Source organism: Homo sapiens, chromosome 2, assembly GCF_000001405.40.
Source record: "Homo sapiens chromosome 2, GRCh38.p14 Primary Assembly".
In the NCBI taxonomy this organism is placed as follows: domain Eukaryota; kingdom Metazoa; phylum Chordata; class Mammalia; order Primates; family Hominidae; genus Homo; species Homo sapiens.
Window position 1 is genome coordinate 124,230,826 of NC_000002.12, and position 19,652 is coordinate 124,250,477.

The window sequence follows — 19,652 nt, forward strand, 5'->3', positions numbered from 1 at the left end:
CCAGCCTCTAATGTGTTTTAAAAGACAGTAAGCTATACAGAAATGGGTCAGTGGATTACCCCCTCTCCCTGTGAACCACCCTTCTCTCTTTTCAGCACCTTTCCTTTCTTGTGTCCTGTCCTAGCTGTCCCAGGCATGGTAAGCATCCAAATCTATGCTTTCCTCTGTTTCATCACACTCTCCCTTCCCAGTCGAATTGTGTATGGTGGGTAGAAGCTGGGACATCCACCAGGAGCTTGTTACAAATGCAGAATCTTGGCTTCTACCCAGAACTCCTGGATCAGAACCCGTGCATTAACAGCTGGTGCTTCTGCAAATTGAAATTTGAGATGCAGCATTCTAGAGGATCACTGAACCTTTTGTTATTTCAGTTCTCACCTCTATGACTTATTTACTGTGGATCTTAGGGGTAGGAGAGAGTAGAAAGAATCAAAGTTGGCTAAGTTATTAAAAAGAAGGAATTGTGTTGAAAACTTTTGTTCTTCATTTCTGTCATCACTTCAGTACTCTGGTACTCATTTTTCTCATTTTTTAAGATGGAGAAACAGAGTCAGAGAGGTTAAGTCAGTGGCCCAAAACTACACAGCTAATTTTGGTAGGGCTTGAATTTGAATCTAGGTCTGTCTACTTCACATTAATCAATATCTTTATTGATGTTGATGTAAGATCTTAGTCTGAATAAAGATGCTCTTGACATAATTAGCTTTCAGGTAATTTTGGTATTCCCTTAGGGTTCTCAGTATTTTAACTAAAATAATAGATTTTCAGACATCAAGGAAGAAAGAGAAACCTATATATCTTGCCTTTTGAATGCCCCTAAAATCATACTGTGTGGCCTAATATGCCTGAGGGAAAAACTAACCTTGACCTGGATATTTAAACAATGCCTTAGGCCTCTTCTTTTACTAGGACAGCTATAGATCATTGAAAGATACAGGACAGAAACCTTCTGCTATTTAACAGGAGCCTTGGGACCCTGTCTCAAATTGAGACAAATTCAATGTGATAGCCCTCTATTCAGGCTGGCTAATTGCAAAACCACATGATGAGGAGGAGGAGAAGGAAAGGGATTATAGAAAATTTGTTACTGGCTACTAATCAAAAGATTTGAACATCACCATTTGGCACAAAAAAAAAGTTCCAAGAAAGAAGCGAATTTCATGTACTTCATCCTTTACTTTTTTTTTTCCTGATTGTAAGTCACTTCCTTTGAAAGGCCAGGTTGCGATGACTTCTAAGCAGCACTCCATGAAATGCAGTAAACCATCACTTTGATGTTTCTAACACTTTGCAAAGAGACAAGAGCTTCTTTAATTCATTAGTTCATTGAATTTAACTTAAAGCATTGCAACAAAACTGTAAGAATAGAATTAAGAGCATGATTATTAGTGACATATTTGTCTAGTGATTGGCAGTTTATAACAGCAATTTACAATGTCAGTTTACAATGTTTTCAATGTGTGTCACATTTAGGAGGAAATAAGCTATGTTCAGCTGGAACATTGTGTGGTAGATGTTTTTCCTTCGTCTAACTGGGAATAGTTAGAAGGAGTCTACTGGATATGTTGTTGGATACTGGAGTCTTCTTCTCGAGAAGCCTTTCATTTAAACATTGTGGACATGTCCTTAAAAACATGAGTTTAGGTTTACTGAATTCTCCATGAGAAGTGAAAATGGCAACATATAACAAACGCCAAAGAAACAGAAAATGGGAGTTAATATAATCCTTTAGTTCATCTTTCTCCAGATTTTCAATTTGAAGACTCCTTCTTTCATGGTGACCCCCTCCTCATTTCTCCTTTTGAGTATCTCACTCCTTGCTTATTTCAGTTATATTCATCTACGCAATTGGTTGATCATGTCTGGACTTTAATTTTCTAGCCAATGAAAATGTTTCATTAAAAATCCAGATTTGATCAAAGAACTTTTATCATTTGTTTTGCTAAGGACTGGCTTCTAATGAATCTTTTCTACAAAAAATATCCATGGCAATCAGAAAGCGTTCTGGGGTATCTTTATTGGTGTGCTTCTGTGTGTAAATAACAGAAAATCCAGCTCACACTGGTTGAAAAATATTAAATTATTCAGATTAGGCACATAAAGATTGAAAGGTGTTCATATTTCTATTTCCAGAACAGGGTGGTTACAAGATCCTTTACCCTATAATACTTTATTAAGCTGAACATTCATTTTGTGAGACTTTTTGTATCTGTGGGTTTTTTTTTTTTTCATTACAAAAGGATTAAAGGTAAAAATTAATTATTAAAAACAAAAGGAAATTCTCAAAAAGGGCAGGCTCCAGGGCTGCCAGATTTAATTCAACAATACCATCCTCAGTGGCAGCATTGTCCTGGAACTGATAAGCCTGCCCAACATCTCAGCCAGCTTTACAACATTCTGGGAATCAATGAGACCATGACCTCCTGTGGCTTGTTTTTTAAGCTATCAGAGTGTGAGCCCTGGAATAGCAGCATAATGAACATCTCCTAGGAACTTGATAAAAATGTAGATTATCTAGACTCACACCAACCTACTAAATTAGAAATTCTGGCAGTAGAAACCTATGTTTTCCCAAGTTCCTTAAGTGATTCTGATGCTCACAAAACTTTGGGAAGCACTTCTTAGAGCACTGAAACTCTTCAAGGATCCAAGACCCAGAATCACCCTTTCCTATTTCACCAGCTTCCACAATTTGGTCATCTGCCCAGTCCTGAAACAATCACAGTCAAGGAGGATGGAATTACCATCGCTGAATTTACATTCATTATCTGATAGAGAATAATCAACCATGTCTATAAATCTTCATTCTATCCCTTTCTCTCTCCCTTTCTCTCCTTCTCTCTCTCCTCTCCTTCTCTCTTTCCTCTTTCTCTCCTTTCTCTCTCTCTCTTTCACAGTAATACAATTCAATACACTCATATTTAATCATTTTGTGTCCATAGTTGTGATGCCTGTGAGTTTATATATATATATATATATTATTTTATCCATGGTATGGTAGACACTAACCATACTATTTTTATAGAAGTAGGGAAATCACTTATCCAAAGTCACAAGGTAGAAAGTGACCTTTTAAACTCAAAAACACCAGAATTCGACCAGGCACTGTCTTTTAAAAGAAAATTGCTCCAAGAATCCAAGTTAAATGTAATATGCTCAACTGTGCATAAAGTATATACTGCTCATGAGAAAAAAAATGTAAGTGGTAATGTCATCAATATGAGATCTGCAGTTTCAAATCACTTCCAATTCCAGTTCTCCCTTTTCCCTTTGATAATCTTGGGAGAGTAATTTTTTTCCATATGCCTAAAAACAGGAACAGTGTTTTACCTTGCTGCTGAATCTTCTATATATATATAAAATCAGGTATACATAATCCACTAGAATCCACTAACAATCTCTTAGTCCTGAGCAGCAGATGGGCAGAGTTAGAGTGTATTGATTTGCCAAGTTAAAATTGAACTGAGCCTCTACTCATTTTATAAGAGAAATTTTACAACAGCACTGGCCGATAGAAAATTCTGCAAGGATGGAAATATGTGTAAGTGTGCTATGCAAGGTATTCACTAGCAACACGGCTACTAAGTATTTAAACGTGGCTACTGTGACTAAGAAATTCAATTTTTAATTTATTTTAAGTGAAATTTAAATTTAAATATTCACTACCATATTGAACAATTAGTTTTAAAGCCTGTAAGTTTTATATACATGACACTCCCATCCAAGTTTTTTAAAATGCCTGGGTGTTTTTATGCACACATGAATCAGCCCTTGGTCTGTAGGGGTCATGAATATGGAATATCCATCTTGGGTCTGAACTCCAATTCTTCCCAGCCCAGACTGCCCTCCTGCCAAACCCCCTCACTTCTTTTATAACTTCTGAACTATGAAACAGGCAGACAGACCTCCTTTCCTGCTCCATCAGGGCCTTGATTGCTCCATTTTTCCAAAGGGAAGATATTTATTGGAGGACATCAGCAAAACTGTCTTGAGTACTGAGCGTCTTTCAAAATAATAACACAGCTTTCTCACTATAGACACTGACAGACACACCAGTGTGAAGCCAGGTTCACACACTGTCTCAGAGGCTGTTCGTGCTCATATGCCTCAGACTTCACCATTTCAGCCAAAAGCCAGCATCTTGGAAGCTGAGCAGAGACAGGACTTTTTGTGGAAGTAATTATTGAGGCGGTGGTCTCTGGAGATAGGGCCTGAGGGAAGCAGGGTAAGACAGAGGGGAAAGCTAGCAAGAGTATAGTCTCCACTGAAGTCAAGGTTCCTTCAGATGCCACAAAGATGTTCTAGACCTCAGACTACACTGTAAAGTCTGTCATGCCTTGAGACACTGGGACCAGCCTTTTGAACTTTGTATCAATCTGACACTCGCTGAGTTGAGGACATGGGAAGTGATAGCTCCCAGGCAAGAAGGCTTCTCTTTGGCCAAGGACAAATCTCTGGAAAAGGGGATAGTTCTAGTTGTCATCTAGCACTCACAGCTGAAGGATGAGTTCACCTGCTAGAGAGGATCTGGATAGAGACCTGAGAACATCCTCAACAAGACCACTTTCAACCCTAAGAGCTAAGCTTCTCCTCTCGGTGTTTCTCTCTGTGCTTTAGATGCCACCCTGCTCTTCAGAAGCTCTCAATTAATACCTGACCAAGTTGGTGTATAAAAACCCCAGCTCCCTCCCACTCAAATGAGATAACCCTAAGGTGCTTCCTATCCCACTGGGATGAAACTCACTCACAGGGATGATGTCCTGATGATGTCCCATAGATGGGCTTTCCTTTCTGCTCTGCCTCATCTTCCTGGGATCACTTCCCAAATGAACTACTTGCATTCAAATCCTTGTTTTGTAACTGACTTCCAGGAAAGCCAAACTAAGTCATACACAGAATCACTCTCCCTAGACATTACTCTTTTGGCAGCCATCAACTATAATAACCGGGTCTGATTATTATCCAAAATCACCACTCCCTTAGGTGAACCTCCTCTTAAAAGCTCCTTTGTTGTTTTCTGCAGACTGGTCTCAATCAGGGTCATTCCAGATTTTCTTACAGGTGTTTATCATTTTTGCAACCCACATGGTGCATGGTGTGTTGGCAAGTTCCCACTTATTTATTTATTTATTTATTTATTTATTTATTTATTTATTTAGTGATGAAGTCCCACTCTGTTGCCCAGGCTGGATTGCAGTGTCATGATCTTGGCTCATTGAAACCTCTGCTTCCCGGGTTCAAGTGATTCTCCTGCCTCAGCCTCCCGAGTAGCTGGGATTACAGGCACACATCACCATGCCCTGTTAATTTTTGTATTTTGAGTAGAGACGGGGTTTCACCATGTTGGCCACACTGGTCTTGAATTCCTGACCTCAGATGATCCGCCCGCCTTGGCCTCCCAAAGTGCTAGGATTACAGGCGTGAGCCAAGTTCCCACTTTATTTTCCCCTGGTTAACTCCTTAGTCCCTAATTAATGTGGAACTGGAAGTGCAGGAGGCGTGGCCTGGACCAGGCTGCAACACCTTAGCCTTCCTGCACCTGCCCAGGAGCAGAAAGATTACGCCCAGGGTTCTTGCCAACAGCTTTCCTCCTCAAAGATTCTTGCCCAGCCACAGGTCCTATTACACATGGGTGATCCCGTTCTACAGGGAGGAGCAGGAAGCCCTTCTGAGTGCTACAAGCATGTCTGTGAATGTTGTTATTACTCTTACACATACTGCATAATGTTCGATATTTATGGGAGAGCCTCTTTCTGTTATTCATTACCATTACCAGGTAGCTGTGTCCCTAAAACATCTAGAACTTTTACTTACAGAGGCATCGACCATTTAATAATTAAAGATGTGGCTAGTGATTCAAGTTAGCCTCACAGTAATTTGTGAGAATATGCTTGTAGTTTCATAGGGCCTTCTGGAAGACAGCAGAAGTAACTGCCTGGGAAACTTGTTTCCTATAGGGTTTATTTTAGGCTTTAAAAAAAAAAATGGTCAGGCTGTATTTTTAAAACAGATTAGGTGTGGCCAGGCATGGTGGCTCATGCCTATAATCCCAGCATTTTGGGAGGACGAGGCGGGTGGATCACCTGGAGGTCAGGAGTTCAAGATCAGCCTGGCCAACATGATGAAACCCCGTCTCTACTAAAAGTACAAAAAATTAGCTGGGTGTAGTGGCGGGCATCTGTAATCCCAGCTTCTCAGGAGGCTGAGGCAGGAGAATCCCTTGAACCCAGGAGGCAGAAGTTGCAGTGAGCCGAAATCACGCCATTGCACTCCAGCCTGGGTGACAGGAGCGAGACTCTGTCAAAAGAAAAAAGAAAGAAAACAAAAACACATTAGGCATGAAAATGCTATGCTGCTATGTGTGTGTATGACGCTTTCAACTCCAGTTGGTCTTGGACTAAATGTACTCTCTTTTTTTGAAAGACGGTTGTGAAATATCGTTTTGCAGAGACTAGTATATAATCCATTTTGTGCCCATTTCCAGTGTGTGGCATCAATCACTTCTCATTTCCCTTTTTGAGTTAGAAGTGGAAATAAGTGTAGAAACTGAGGAATTTCTGCATTTTCTACTGGTTATTCTGCTTCATGCTTACAGCCTACCCTAGTGTGTGCAGTTTGGAATGCAGGATTAGCAATAAGTGTCTTGGTATATAGAAGTGAGCATGGAGTGACTGGGAGGCAGGAGATCTGGTTTTGTTTTGTTTTGTTTTTCTTACTTAAAACTGCAGCTGGGCATGGTGGCTCACACCTGTAATCCCAGCACTCAGGGAGGCTGAGATGGGGGGTGGATCACCTGAGATCAGGAGTTCGAGAGCAGTCTGGCCAACATGGTGAAACCCTGTTTCTACTAAAAATACAAAAATTAGCTGGATGTGGTGGCACACGCCTGTAATCCCAGCTACTCGGGAGGCTAAGTTGGGAGAATCGCGTCAACCCATGAGGCAGAGGTTGAAGTGAGCCGAGATCACACCATTGCACTCCAGCCTGGGCGACAGAGCAAGACTCTGTCTCAAAAGAAAAAACAACAACAGCAACAACAACAACAAAACACAATTGCTTAGAATTCTCCATACAAGTCTATTCTTGCTTTCTTAAGATGTTGGTTCCTATTGAAACCTCAGGCAGGGACTTGAAATTAGAACTGGGTTGGAGTGCAGTCTTTAGCCATACATCTGGGTTAGCTGCCTGGCCCATTGAGGCTGCTTTGAAAAAATTTAAAAAGGGCTACTGCTGATTTCCATGAGAATCAACTGAGATACTGGAAACAATGTCAAGGTGAATTATGTTTCTAGTGAGAATTGCTCTTATGAGGAAGCAGGAGGACAAGGACCTGAGGGATTTGTTGGTGCACTTGAGAGGCCGCTTGTAGCCCAGGGAAGACCTGGGTGCTGGATGCAGGTTTCCTGGGTCTGGAGCTCCTGCATTGCTACTTCCTAGTTTATGATCTTGGAAATGCTACCCACTATCCTGTTTGCATGATGGAGATCATTTGAGAATCTCTCATCTAGTGTGACATCAGGAACAGAGCTGGGTCTTGAACCAGATTGCCTGACTTTTGGTACAGCATCTCTATTCCATCTATTCCTCCAAAGTCAAATAATATAGTTTGCAGAGTATGAGGCTTGGAGTATGCTAGAAATAACTAAGACATAGCCTCCAAATCATTTTGGATCTTTTGTTTGTCAAACATTTAAACAATTCCAGATGTTCTCTAAGGTGAGATTATTTTCTCTTTAAATGCAAGTGTTCCCTTTAAGTGTAAACTTCTTTAAATATCCTTTAAATTTAAACTGCAGAGTTTATAGGAATTTTTGTAGTTAATAGCCATTGATACATCAGCCAAAATTACAGACAGCATTGCCTCAGTCAACACCTTCAACTTGCCAAATGCACTTATTTGTATGTATGTTATACCCCCAATTTAGAGAATAATTCAGAAACAAGAAGCTAGTGTAGGTGCAGTGCGTTTTTATAGTGACTACAAATAGTTTCTTCAGGCTACTTTCATCATTTGTGAAAGCACATTTATTGTTTGGTGGAAAGAATGAAATGTTTGCCATAGCAACCATGGCAACCCTGGGTGTCTTCCCTATTAGCTGTAATGCGGGGAGCATCTTCAACAGCAGGAAAGAGTCCTCGGCAATTATCACCCAGATAGCATCCCTCCATTTTAAAAGCTTTGGCTGAAACTCTTGGGCTCAGAAAATTTTTAACATGATGTGTTGATGAATGGTAACAACAGCTATTCCATTTTGGTTAATTTGGGGGAGATTAATAAGCTAAGTTTTTTTACTGTGGGAAAAAGGGAGCTATGATTTTCTTTAGACAAATTTGCAGAAACTTTAATGCTAAATCATTCTCTATTTTTTTGTTTTGGTTTGTCTTGGTTTGGTTTAGCTTTGATCAGTCTTTTGTTATTTTATTCTTTGCAAGCTAAATTTCTTGTCAATTTATTTCCTTGTTTCCATTCTTCATGTAAGTTCTTATCATATGCTAATTAGAATAGATGAAGGAAAAACTTTAAAGCATGATGAGGAAGTCTAGTTGTGAACTATTGAGGGTAAAAGAGAAACAGTTAAGGCTTAAGAATTTTCATTTTAAAAATAATGATGGTCACAGAAACAGCAAAAGTCCTATATTATAGCATCAGCTCCCAAATTGCTGTACATATTCTTTACGCAATAAATCACATATGAGTAATAAAATTCTCAGCTTATAAAAGAAGAAAATGTTGATAAGGGAAACTATGTTATATGCAAAAATCAGAAGAGTATAAAATCACTCATACATTCACCACAGACAAAATCGCCATATACATTTATTTTCTATCATGTTTTAATATTGCTGAGAGGGGACCATTTCAACAACATTTTTTTTTTTTACTGAGAAAGAATGCAGCCTCATGAACTGGGCAGCAGAAGACATTGAATAAAATAAAGAATATGTTTAGAATTATTTTGGATTTTTTGAAATATAAAACCTCCCTCTCTATAAGCCTCTCTGTCAATTTTGAGAAGCTAGAGAAAGGCAGAGGGGAATGGGAATTGTGAATATGTTGAGGAAGACAGAGTTGAATGACAAAAATGTACTCCTAGATCTGGCATCTCAGAATCTCTGCTCAAATACCTACTTCCAGTGATTTTCCTCCTTACTAATTTTCTGGAGTTTTATAAACTGTTTTTTTTCCTGTTGAAGAATAATTGCAAATAGCTGGATTTACCCTATGTTTTAATCCTGGGTGCCAAATTTTCCAAACTTGCTGGACTTCAGTTTCCTCAACTTTATGATGGAGATAATGCTATTTACTTAAAAGGATATTGTATATTTATTCAAGTAGACAAAATTGCAGTGTCAAATAGAGTCCAATGCACAATGACTTAAACACAATAAGTGTTTAGCTCTCATTCATCTACTAGGTGAACGTGTTCAAGTAGGCAAGTACTTTCCTTCATGTGATCTTTCCATACTGTGATTCTGCCATCATCTAGATCTTGTTGTCAGCTGCATCCATCAGTGGTGGAAAAGGAAAGCAAGTGGAGAAGGAGCACGCTAGCCTGGAAGTGGCACAAATTATTCCCACTCACATTCTTATTGGAGAGAACTTGACCACATGGCCATAACCATGAAAGTATGGAAAGCTGAAAACTGCCATTAAGCCATGCACTCACTGCAATTCTACTACCAAAGAAGGAAGAGAGAATGGATATTAGTGACTATCTGCCATAACTGCCACTGTATTCATAAAAAACACTTAAAAATCACATTCCACAATAGATGCTGAGCACATTCCCTTCCCCTTCTTTCCTGCATTTGAATCTTCTCAGGAATGGTGAGAAAAAAAAAAAGAAAAAAATCAAAACTTTTCTCAAACAAAATCTGCTAAGGGCTAGCTGCTTACTGAAGAAAATCAACCACAATTTGCAAGATGTGCCTTTAAGTCCTCTATTTTTCCATCCTTAAAGACAGAATAGGATTGGCTTTATGCCCTCTATCACTCTGTCTGCATTGCAGTCCTGTACTATGAGAGACTCTGCAGGAGGAGCTGGGGCTCTAGAAAACTCTCAGTTACCAAGGAGATGTCCAAATGACTTCTTCCAAGGTGGCGAGAAAGTAGACTGAAACATCGCTAAAATGATTTTCAATGACATAGATTGAAAGAAAAAGGTTATTGATTAACTCCTCTAAATGAAAACTTCAATTACCTCTCCCTACTTGATGTCCTGAGTTGCTTCTATGCTATCTCTACCCATGGCATAATACAGTCTGCGATAGCTCCCACATGGGCTTCAGAAGATTTGTGAAACTTGGGAACAGTAGAAGTGAATATTGTCTTTTTTACTCCTATGTGAAATAAAAACAGAAAATTTAGGCTACAAGTCTTTCAACTAAGAGAGAACTCACATTGATCTTCTGCAAACCTCAGGTGTGATACATACAAAATTCTCGGGCCAAAACAGTTTTTGTATGTGTGTCAGAATGCCCCTACATGTCAGGTATACTGAATCACACGAGATCCAAGAATGTTAGAGACTCTGTCATGCCTCTGAGATTTTGTGTATGTTGTTCCCTCTTCCCTGGCTAATCTCCATCGAACTTTCCACCTTTTTTCCTAGGATATGGCTGCACTTGCCTCAGGTTTCACCTCTACTATTGCTATCTCTAGAAGGCCTCTCTGATCAGCTCCTGAGGCATTCTGTGCTCTGTGTACCTGCTGTTTACCTCTTGTGATGGTTTCTTTCACATCACATGTTTTTGTCAGCCTCTCTCTCTCTCTTCAGCACCCAGCATACTCCTGGTGCTCAACAAACATCTGCCGAATAAATGAATGATACTCTTCAAAGGCATAGTCGGTGTCCTTTCATCTTTGTATCTGCAGCACAATATCTTGACCATGATAGGTTCATAGTAAATATTCAGAGACCGAGGAGAGAGAAGGTAATGAAAGAACACTAAAACAAGGAAGAGAAGGAAGAAAAGAAGGAACGATATATTAGTCAGAGAGAGAGAGAGAGAGCACATGTAAGCCTAGTTCATATATATCTGCAATCAAAGGCTGAAGTTGTAAGAAGAGAAATAAATAAAACAAATGTCACTAGGAGTTTGTAAGATAGAAGTCATAATGACTAAGGAAATAGGGATGGAAGCATGGAAGATACAGCTTCTGGCATGAGTCTTAAACCATGAGAGAGATTTTGATGGAGGTGGAGAATGGAAAGTACCAGGGGGTTAAGTACAGAGGCAGGGAAGAGTAGGGCCCATTTGGGGGTAGAGTCATCTTAGTTGAACACTGTTTCATTTCCCTTTGATAGTTGAAAATTGTAGCTATGTGAGACATTACTACAACTCTCTCTCACTCTCTCTGATCCTGTTCCAGGAACTGGCGGTTGGTCCCCAGCAGATTCCAATGCTCAACAGTGGCTCCAGATGGACCTGGGAAACAGAGTAGAGATTACAGCAGTGGCCACGCAGGGAAGATACGGAAGCTCTGACTGGGTGACGAGTTACAGCCTGATGTTCAGTGACACAGGACGCAACTGGAAACAGTACAAACAAGAAGACAGCATCTGGGTAGGACATCTTTTTCCTTCCAATGAATAAAACTGAGATGTGCTAATGGTAACCAGAGTATATTTCCGTCATTTTCCAATATCCAGATTGTTGGTAGTTTAATAACTGGTGAGTGCCCATTAGAAATAATTAGACAATTTTTAAGGCCCATGCCCGGCATGGTTCTACTTCCTAGGAAAATTAGGATGTCTGTCGCAAATAGTTTAGTATGTTCCCCTTTTTGTAGTAAACTGGGTAATTCACTGACTGAGCCTCACTTTCTTCATCTATAAAAATTAATTAAAAAACAGATAAATGTACCAAAAAGTACGATTATTAATGTGATTATACTAATTTACTGAGTGTTTATTGACTTATTAGTTTATTATATGCCAGGCACTTCACATATTTTGTAACAACACAGCTAGCTCAATTACATCATTTGATCAACATTGCCCAATGTATGAATTGTGACTTGGTAATCTTTAAAATCTGGCCTGACTTTAAAGCCACGAAGCAGCTTCTATTGTAGATTTACAAATAATTGAAAACTAAAACTACAAAACAAGTAGAAAATTTAGAATTATTCTGTCATTGGAAACAATCTTCAGCTTCAGAGTGAAGGACAGTTTGCTCCAAGTTACAAAACAGAACTTTCCTCCCCAGTCCCAGCCCCACACTCTTGACCTCACTGTGTGGGTGAAAGGCTGTCAGCAAATTATTAATGGAGGAAAAGGTGGAGGTGAAGCAGATAGCAAAAGTCACCTGGAGGTAGCTTCAGAACCTCAGGCACTGAATAAAATAAGTTGTAAGTTTATATTATTTTTCATTGAGAAAATAAGTCACCATTTTTTAATCCAAATGTGTGTAAAATGTGAAGATACGGAAATTAATAGCATATTCTTTCCTTTTCAGATTCTGTCCTCTTAAATCAATGCCAATTTATACTTTACATTAGTGTTGTCTTCACATTCACATTCCCATGTTGGCCCCATCTCCCTGATAAAAATGAAATAACTTCTGTTTTATATACTCATTGTTATTTGTTAATTGCCTACCCATCACTTGGGGTTGTAATTGAAAACAGTCATAAATTGAGGATTAAAATTAGTTATGGCAGACTGAATCCTGAGAATAGTATTAATGTCATCTTTATTCTGGGTCACTTGTAATATTAGGTTATAATATTTATAAAGGGCGTAAGTTTTCTTCATTTTCAAAAATAGTCTAAACAGTGAGTATACATGGAAACAAAGAGGGGAAAATAGACACCACAGCCTACTTGAAGGGAGAGGTTGGGAGGACGGCGAGAGTCCAAAATCTACCTATTGGGTACTGTGTTCAAAACCTGGGTGATGAAATCATTTGTACACTAAGCCCCAGGGACAAGCAATTTACCCATGTAACAAACCTGCCCATGTACCCCTTGAACCTAAAATAAAAGTTGAAAAAGAAAAAAAATTGTATTTTGGGGACTATTTTATTTTTTCTCAATTTTGAGGTCCCCATAAATTATTACAGGTTTTCATTTTGTTTCACTTTTAGTTTGAGATAAGAAATAAGCACACCTTCCATTTTGAGGAACAATTTTAAGGTTTTTATGTTGACTTTAGAGGGACAAATCGATGTGGGATTTTTTGTTTTCTCTGGTACTTGTCATTGGGACTGGTTGTCTTTAGATTGAGTTGTAGCTTTGAGTTATTGTGCCTAATTTTTTTGTTTTTAATCATGAGTTTCATCTTCTTTAGAACCAAATAATCTACTTTCAGCTTAGCCCCTGGGTTGGGATGTATTTCGAGGGATGACAATTCCTCTGGGCTCATGAGCAGGGGGCACAAAGCCTCTTTCACTTCCTCACCCTTGTCACTTTCCCTGTGTTTCTAAATGATTCCAAGCTCCTCAAAGGCAGGGATCTCTTTATATGTCCATTTAGCCCCTGTGCCCGGTATCACTAGACACATGGCAGGAACTTATTTTGGGGTGATTATTAAGAGAACTGCAGAATTACTAGGGCTCCCTGAATTGAAGGGTGGGGGCAGGAGACTTTCCCCATTCCCTACCTTGCATCCCAAACAGCCTTGACATGGTAGGGCAGGTAGAAGTTGCTGGATGGGCAGAGAAGGAAAGGCAGGGCCCTCCGTCTACAGTGAGGCAGGAAATTCCAGCAACAGCTCCCCAGAGATGCTTGCAGTGGCTGCAGGGCAATTGGGAGAGAGGCAGCTTCAGGAGCAGCCTTTTACTAAGTAAGTACAGGGAGAAGTGATTTGAGGAGGGACCATTACAACTTCCAATTTAAAGAGTAAAATAGAGTGGCGTTAGGCAGGAATACCATGACCGGTCATGTACAGTAACTAGGCTCAACCCTGGAAAAATAGGTGTCCCCTTAATTAATACTGGGATAACTAACAGTTACTAAACACCTATTACACAAGATATGTAAGCAAATGTAATTCTTTATGTATATTAAATTGTCATTCTATAAACTGGTGATTCAATGTTAACATCTCCAGGAACAAGAGGCTTGAGGCTCACAGAGCCCAATCCAAGCTCACACAACCAGAAACTGGTGGCAAAATATTTCACAACTAAGATTTATTCCTAAATATAGTTGGTTGCAAAACTGTAGTTTCTGTTTCTCTTTTAGTACACTGATTTATTTTTTATTTTTATTTTTTGATTTTCACAGAATTGATTTACTTTTCTCACCTCAAATGTCAACTTTGTCAAGCCAACTCTTTAAGAATAATATGAAGCCCTATTGTTTAATTCACATGTTGCTAAATATAAAAGTGTGAAGATACCAATAATACCTATTTGTATTTGTGTATGTTGTAAATAGTGCTTGGACTCTCTAAAACCCTCTAGGCTTTCAGGGTGTTTTACAAACACTTCACAGAAATCTGTGAAATTTGCCTTGTGGCTAACTAATATTTATTGGTGATTTCATCAGATTACGCTGCTGGATTAAAGAGATTATCTTGAGAGCTTTTCTTTTTACTTTTTATTTTTAATTTTAAATTAGAATTAAGACTCTGGGTCCACCAAAACTAAGCCTTATAACTAAGACAAGAACAATAGTCAAACAAAAGGTTTTGCAAAACTGTCTAAATTGTTTTGTTTAACTTTTCAGAAAAAGTCAATGTCTAAAACATCAAGTACTGGCTTAAAGGTGGTTTATCAAGAAAATAGAGAATATATACATATATATCTGTGTGTGTGTGTGTGTGTAAATATATATATGCATGTGTGTGTATATATATGTGTGTGTTTGTGTGTATGTATATATATACACACAAATATATATATACACACAAATATATATATACACACAAATATATATTTATATACACAAATATATACATATATATATATTTGGAGAAAGGGTCTTACTCTGTCACTCAGGCTGGAGTGCGGTGGCACTTATCATAGCTGACTGTAGTTTTGATGTCCTGGGCTCAAGTAATCCTCCCACTTCAGCCTTCAAAGTAGCTGGGACTACAGGCATGCACCACCACATCTGGCTAATTCTTTTGAAATTTTTAAAACTTTCTTCTTAGAGATGGGTTCTCACTATGTTGCCCAGGCTGGTCTCCAACTCGTAGGCCCAAGTGATCCTCCCACCATGACCTCAGGTTTACAGGCTTGAGCCACCGCACCTGGCCAATGAAGCAGAGAAGCTCTTGAATGCTTATGTTCACCTGGTCTTCTGCGGACCCTCAAATTTTAGATAATATATAGTTTGTAGTGCTCTTTAAAATTGATTTACCAAACAATACATAGCACATCCTGAGGATGGGACAATCCATTCACCAGTACTGAAGAGATTTATTACATTTCACAAGGTTCGCTTCAGAAAAATAATCCTAAAAGGATACCTTTGCAATGTACGGTAGCAATTTTTCATGCCCTAAAAATCCAATTTGGAGAGTTTCTGATCTGGCACTGAGTGGAATGCTCATGAATGAGGTCACCAAACAGCCACTTAGTGATGCACCATGATTTATGCACAAGCCAGAGTCCCTCGCTTCACTAAATAATCAGGCATGAAGGTGTGTCAGGGACAAACCCTGCAACAATGTTCAGAATCTTAGCAGCTCCAAAACCTCTTCCTGATTGGTGTGTAGACATGCCAAATCATTACAAATATTAAAATTCCGACTCTGGGCAGCAACATGAGCCAATGCTTGGTAAAGTGGGTAAACTTGTTTGGAACAAAGGAACCTCTTAACTAAGTCCACTCAGACCAGGTCCTGTTAACAGTCCTTTTGAAAGATATGCCAGAAGAAACATGTACTGTTCATGTTATATCCATGAATAACCACAATGTTGAGCCCTTTCCTTCATGAGCACAATTCCCACACTGTCAGTGAGGGTCTTCTGCCCTAATTCAATGTCCCCACATCCTCAGCTATTCATCACATAGCTCATGTCAGTCCCCTTCTCTACCCTATCATCTCCTGTGAATATTCTATATTTTATTAATATTAAACTTGCAGTTTTCTCTTATTAAAATTATGTTGCCTCTCCCCAAACAGACAGCCATATAGTCCTTTATTATAGACGCTTTTGGCCTGTGCACTCTGATGGTCTGTGATTTCCTGTAACTTTCTGGAATCTGTCTTAACATGAAGGACTTGCATTTGTTACCTGGCAGTTTTCTCACACAGAGGTCAATTCAAGCAATGGATTATACATTTTGGTCATCAGTTCCCCGATTTCATCCTTGAGTGACTTCCAAATTCTCTGGGAGATGCTCTCTGATCTTCATGATTTATACACATTTATTCTGCCACGTTGGGCCTAGAACATCCTGAGTATTGATCACTGTTTGATATAGTATTTTAACCCTACCAATTTCAGAAAACAATTTGAGAGTGAGAATCTCATCACCATCAATATATATCTTTTAAGCTCTCATTATATGCCAAGCACTGTGCAAGGTGCTAGGCTTACAAAGGGGCTTAAGCAATGGTTTTTCCCATTTCTGGGTGTGCAGAACCATTAAGGAGACAAATCAATGGCATGCAACACAGTATATGTGTATATGGTAGCACGGCAGCAGTTCACATGCACGAAGCTTGTCAGAGAGGGTGTTCCTGGCAATATATGAATGTGAGGGGCTTAGACTACTTGAACCAGAAGAGACCATATTTAAGTTATGTTGGCTTGTCAGCAACTACAGAGTACTGTATGTGTAACAAAAATTCAATAAATATACAAAAAAATGGGAAGAGAAAATGGTGAAAGTGAGGTGCATTCACAGCAGGAGAAATGCTATAAGCAAAATCTTAAAGGAAGATGTATTAAGGACACAAAAAAATAATAAATTAGATATAAGATATAGCTGGTTAGTGATAGAAAATGAATTTGAAGAGAGAGACTGGATAGATATTGTAGACTAAGAGCACACTCGTATCTTTTTAAGCTAATACATTATTATTTATTAGCCATTGTAACAAAGTTTGTTAACACTTCTCTGTTTTAATTTTTTGTTAAATAATAAAGACTACATGTAGGAACATGGTCTCAAATATATTTGTCAGGATTTTTTAAATGGTTCTCTCCTTTGTTCTCTCACGCACATATACTAATAAGCTTTTAATACAGATATTAATTTCAGTTTTGGCAATTATTAAAAGCTCAATTAAGAACTTAGCATGCCCAGAATCTTGCTGCTGATTTAATGGAGACCACCAATGCAAAAGCAAGTTATTACAATGTCACAGACTAACAGAAATAAAGTATAGAGGGAAATGCAGAGGCTTTTGATTACGATCTGATTACAGTTGCACCACTGGTTGCTTGCATGACCTTGAAAATGTCCCTTAACACCTCTATAGCAGGTCTTTCTCCCTACCCAGGGCAGGGATATATCTAGAATCTTCCAGGCCCATTGCATCCATTCCTCCACATTTCCTTGCTCAGACACTGGTTCTTGGCTTACCCTGTGGGTTGCAATGTGAAATACATGGAGATAAAGCCTGGACTTCACTATGAAGCCAGCTTAGAATAGTCAACTAAAGGATCTCAAAGCTCATCATTCAACTTGAATAATCCCAGTGGTTCTGTCCTAAGCTCTTTTGCTGATTTTAGATGATCTTATAACTGGATAGAGCTCTGCAGAAAAGGAAACAGGGAAAAACTGGCCAATCAGCATTGTGAAAGCAACAGCTGGTCTTCACCCCAGCTTCAGCAGGCTCCCTCCAGCCCTCTGGCTCCACATTTAGCCCATGAAAGCTCCTCACTGATGCCCATCTGTTTTCTCTTCTTAACACTAGAATTTGCTGAAATGTTTCAGAGAATTTCCCAACATGGGGCCTAACCTCTTTAAGGAGTAAATGCACTCACACATTTACACATGTGGCATTTAAACACATCACAAGGACAGGGAGTCAATGTGTAGTCTTCAGGATTAATATTCATATGGACACGTTCTAGGGGAGACCAGATGTTTGCAGTCCCCTACAAACTGGTTGCATGTGTAGTGGGATAGGATCCAACAGCTGATATCAAAATAAGGAGGATGATCTGCTTAAAATTAATTCTCCTAAATCCACTGCTATTAAATTAATCTTATTGTTAAGGTGCTTAATGATTCCCAGCAATCTCAACTTGTAATTGTATTTTCAATATGTATAAACCTGTTAGTCCTCACTCTGATTCCTCTTAATCTAAAGTGAATGTCTCCAAAACCTAAGCTCTGATTTTTTATCTTGCCCAAATTCCTACCTAAGGGGTCTGTGGAGTCATGCCCTACAAACCATCAATTCTCCTCAGATGGGTTTTATTTGACCCTGTATATCATGACTTACTTTCCAATCTGACTCTGGCATAACAAGGAAGAAAATAAAAATGTTTTACCCCAAAATATATTTCCTTGCCATACCTGGGAATTACTCTGCCGTCTCTTGTGGGGAAAATCCACATTCTATAAAAAATCTCCTTTCCCCTTTGTTTTCCTTCCTTCTCAGATCCAGGATTTAATCAACTAAGAGCCAGGCACCCTTTTAAGTCTGATAAGAAACATTTTACAACCTGCACTCTCTGAAGTCTGCTATCTGAGAACTTCCTCTGCACAACTTGGTCTCCACAATCCTTTAGCTTAACCTGAACATTCCTTTCCATTAATCCCAGGACTTCAGATAAACTCAACCAATTGTTAACCAGAAAGTGTTTAAATTTATCTATAGCCTAGAAGCCCCCATCCGCTTTGGGTTGTCCCGCCTTTATGAACCAAACCAATGTGTTTCTTAAATGTATTTGATTGATGTCTCATGCCTTCCTAGAATATATAAAACCAATCTGCACCTGACCACCTTGGGCACATGTTCTCAGGACCTCTGGAGGGCTGTGTCATTGGCCACAATCACTCATATTTGGCTCAGAATCAACCTGTTAAAATCTTTTACAGAGTTTGACTCTTTTCATCGACAAGAGTTAATATCTCAACTTTAACATCCAGCAAAGTATTCGGATTTTTAAAATGTAAATATAGTCAATGATGCTAGCTAGGTGTAATGACTGAGTTGAAGAGATTTTTAAACTAATCCTTATTTATTTAATGTTTAGCTAACAAGGATGAATTCTTTTGTGTGTGTGTGTGTGTGTGTGTGTGTGTGTATGTGTTTCTTTGTTGTTGTTTTCTTATATAGATTATCTCAGCTTTGAAGTGTGACATGGATTCTGTGACCATGATAAATGACTAAAACCCTAAAGCACTGTTTTTCCTCTGTAAAGTGGATGTAATGAGGGTAGTCACCTCATATGATCTGTAAAGGAGAGATTTCTCAAAAACGAGCATGCTTCAAAATGTCCCACAGAACATGTCAAGGCAAGGCCTACTGGGCTCCGCCTGCAGAAAGCATTCAGTAGACCTAGGGTGGGACTGAGAATTTGCTTTTGTAATGAAATCTCAGGTGCTGCTGGTGCTCCTGGTTGGGGACCTCACTTTGAGCAACAGTGCGTAAACTTTAAATGGACTGAACCATACAAGGATCTTTACATAGCATTATCAATAATAAGGGATGTCATTGCCATGAAAGGTAGGTGTATGTGATGTGCCTGGGGGAGAGGCCCAGAGGACACTGGCTCTCAGGGTCTGCTTT

General features: G+C 39.0%; 1 protein-coding gene across 3 annotated transcripts in view; it reads left to right on the plus strand.

Moving 5' to 3' along the window:
* Nucleotides 1–19,652, plus strand: part of CNTNAP5 (contactin associated protein family member 5) — an 895,933-nt gene that overhangs the window by 205,539 nt on the left and 670,742 nt on the right. For all 3 annotated transcript variants that reach the window (NM_001367498.1, XM_017003316.2, NM_130773.4), the window contains exon 3: nt 11,375–11,568. In NM_001367498.1, coding sequence (NP_001354427.1) covers nt 11,375–11,568 — 194 coding nt within the window. The remainder of the gene's footprint in view (nt 1–11,374; nt 11,569–19,652) is intronic.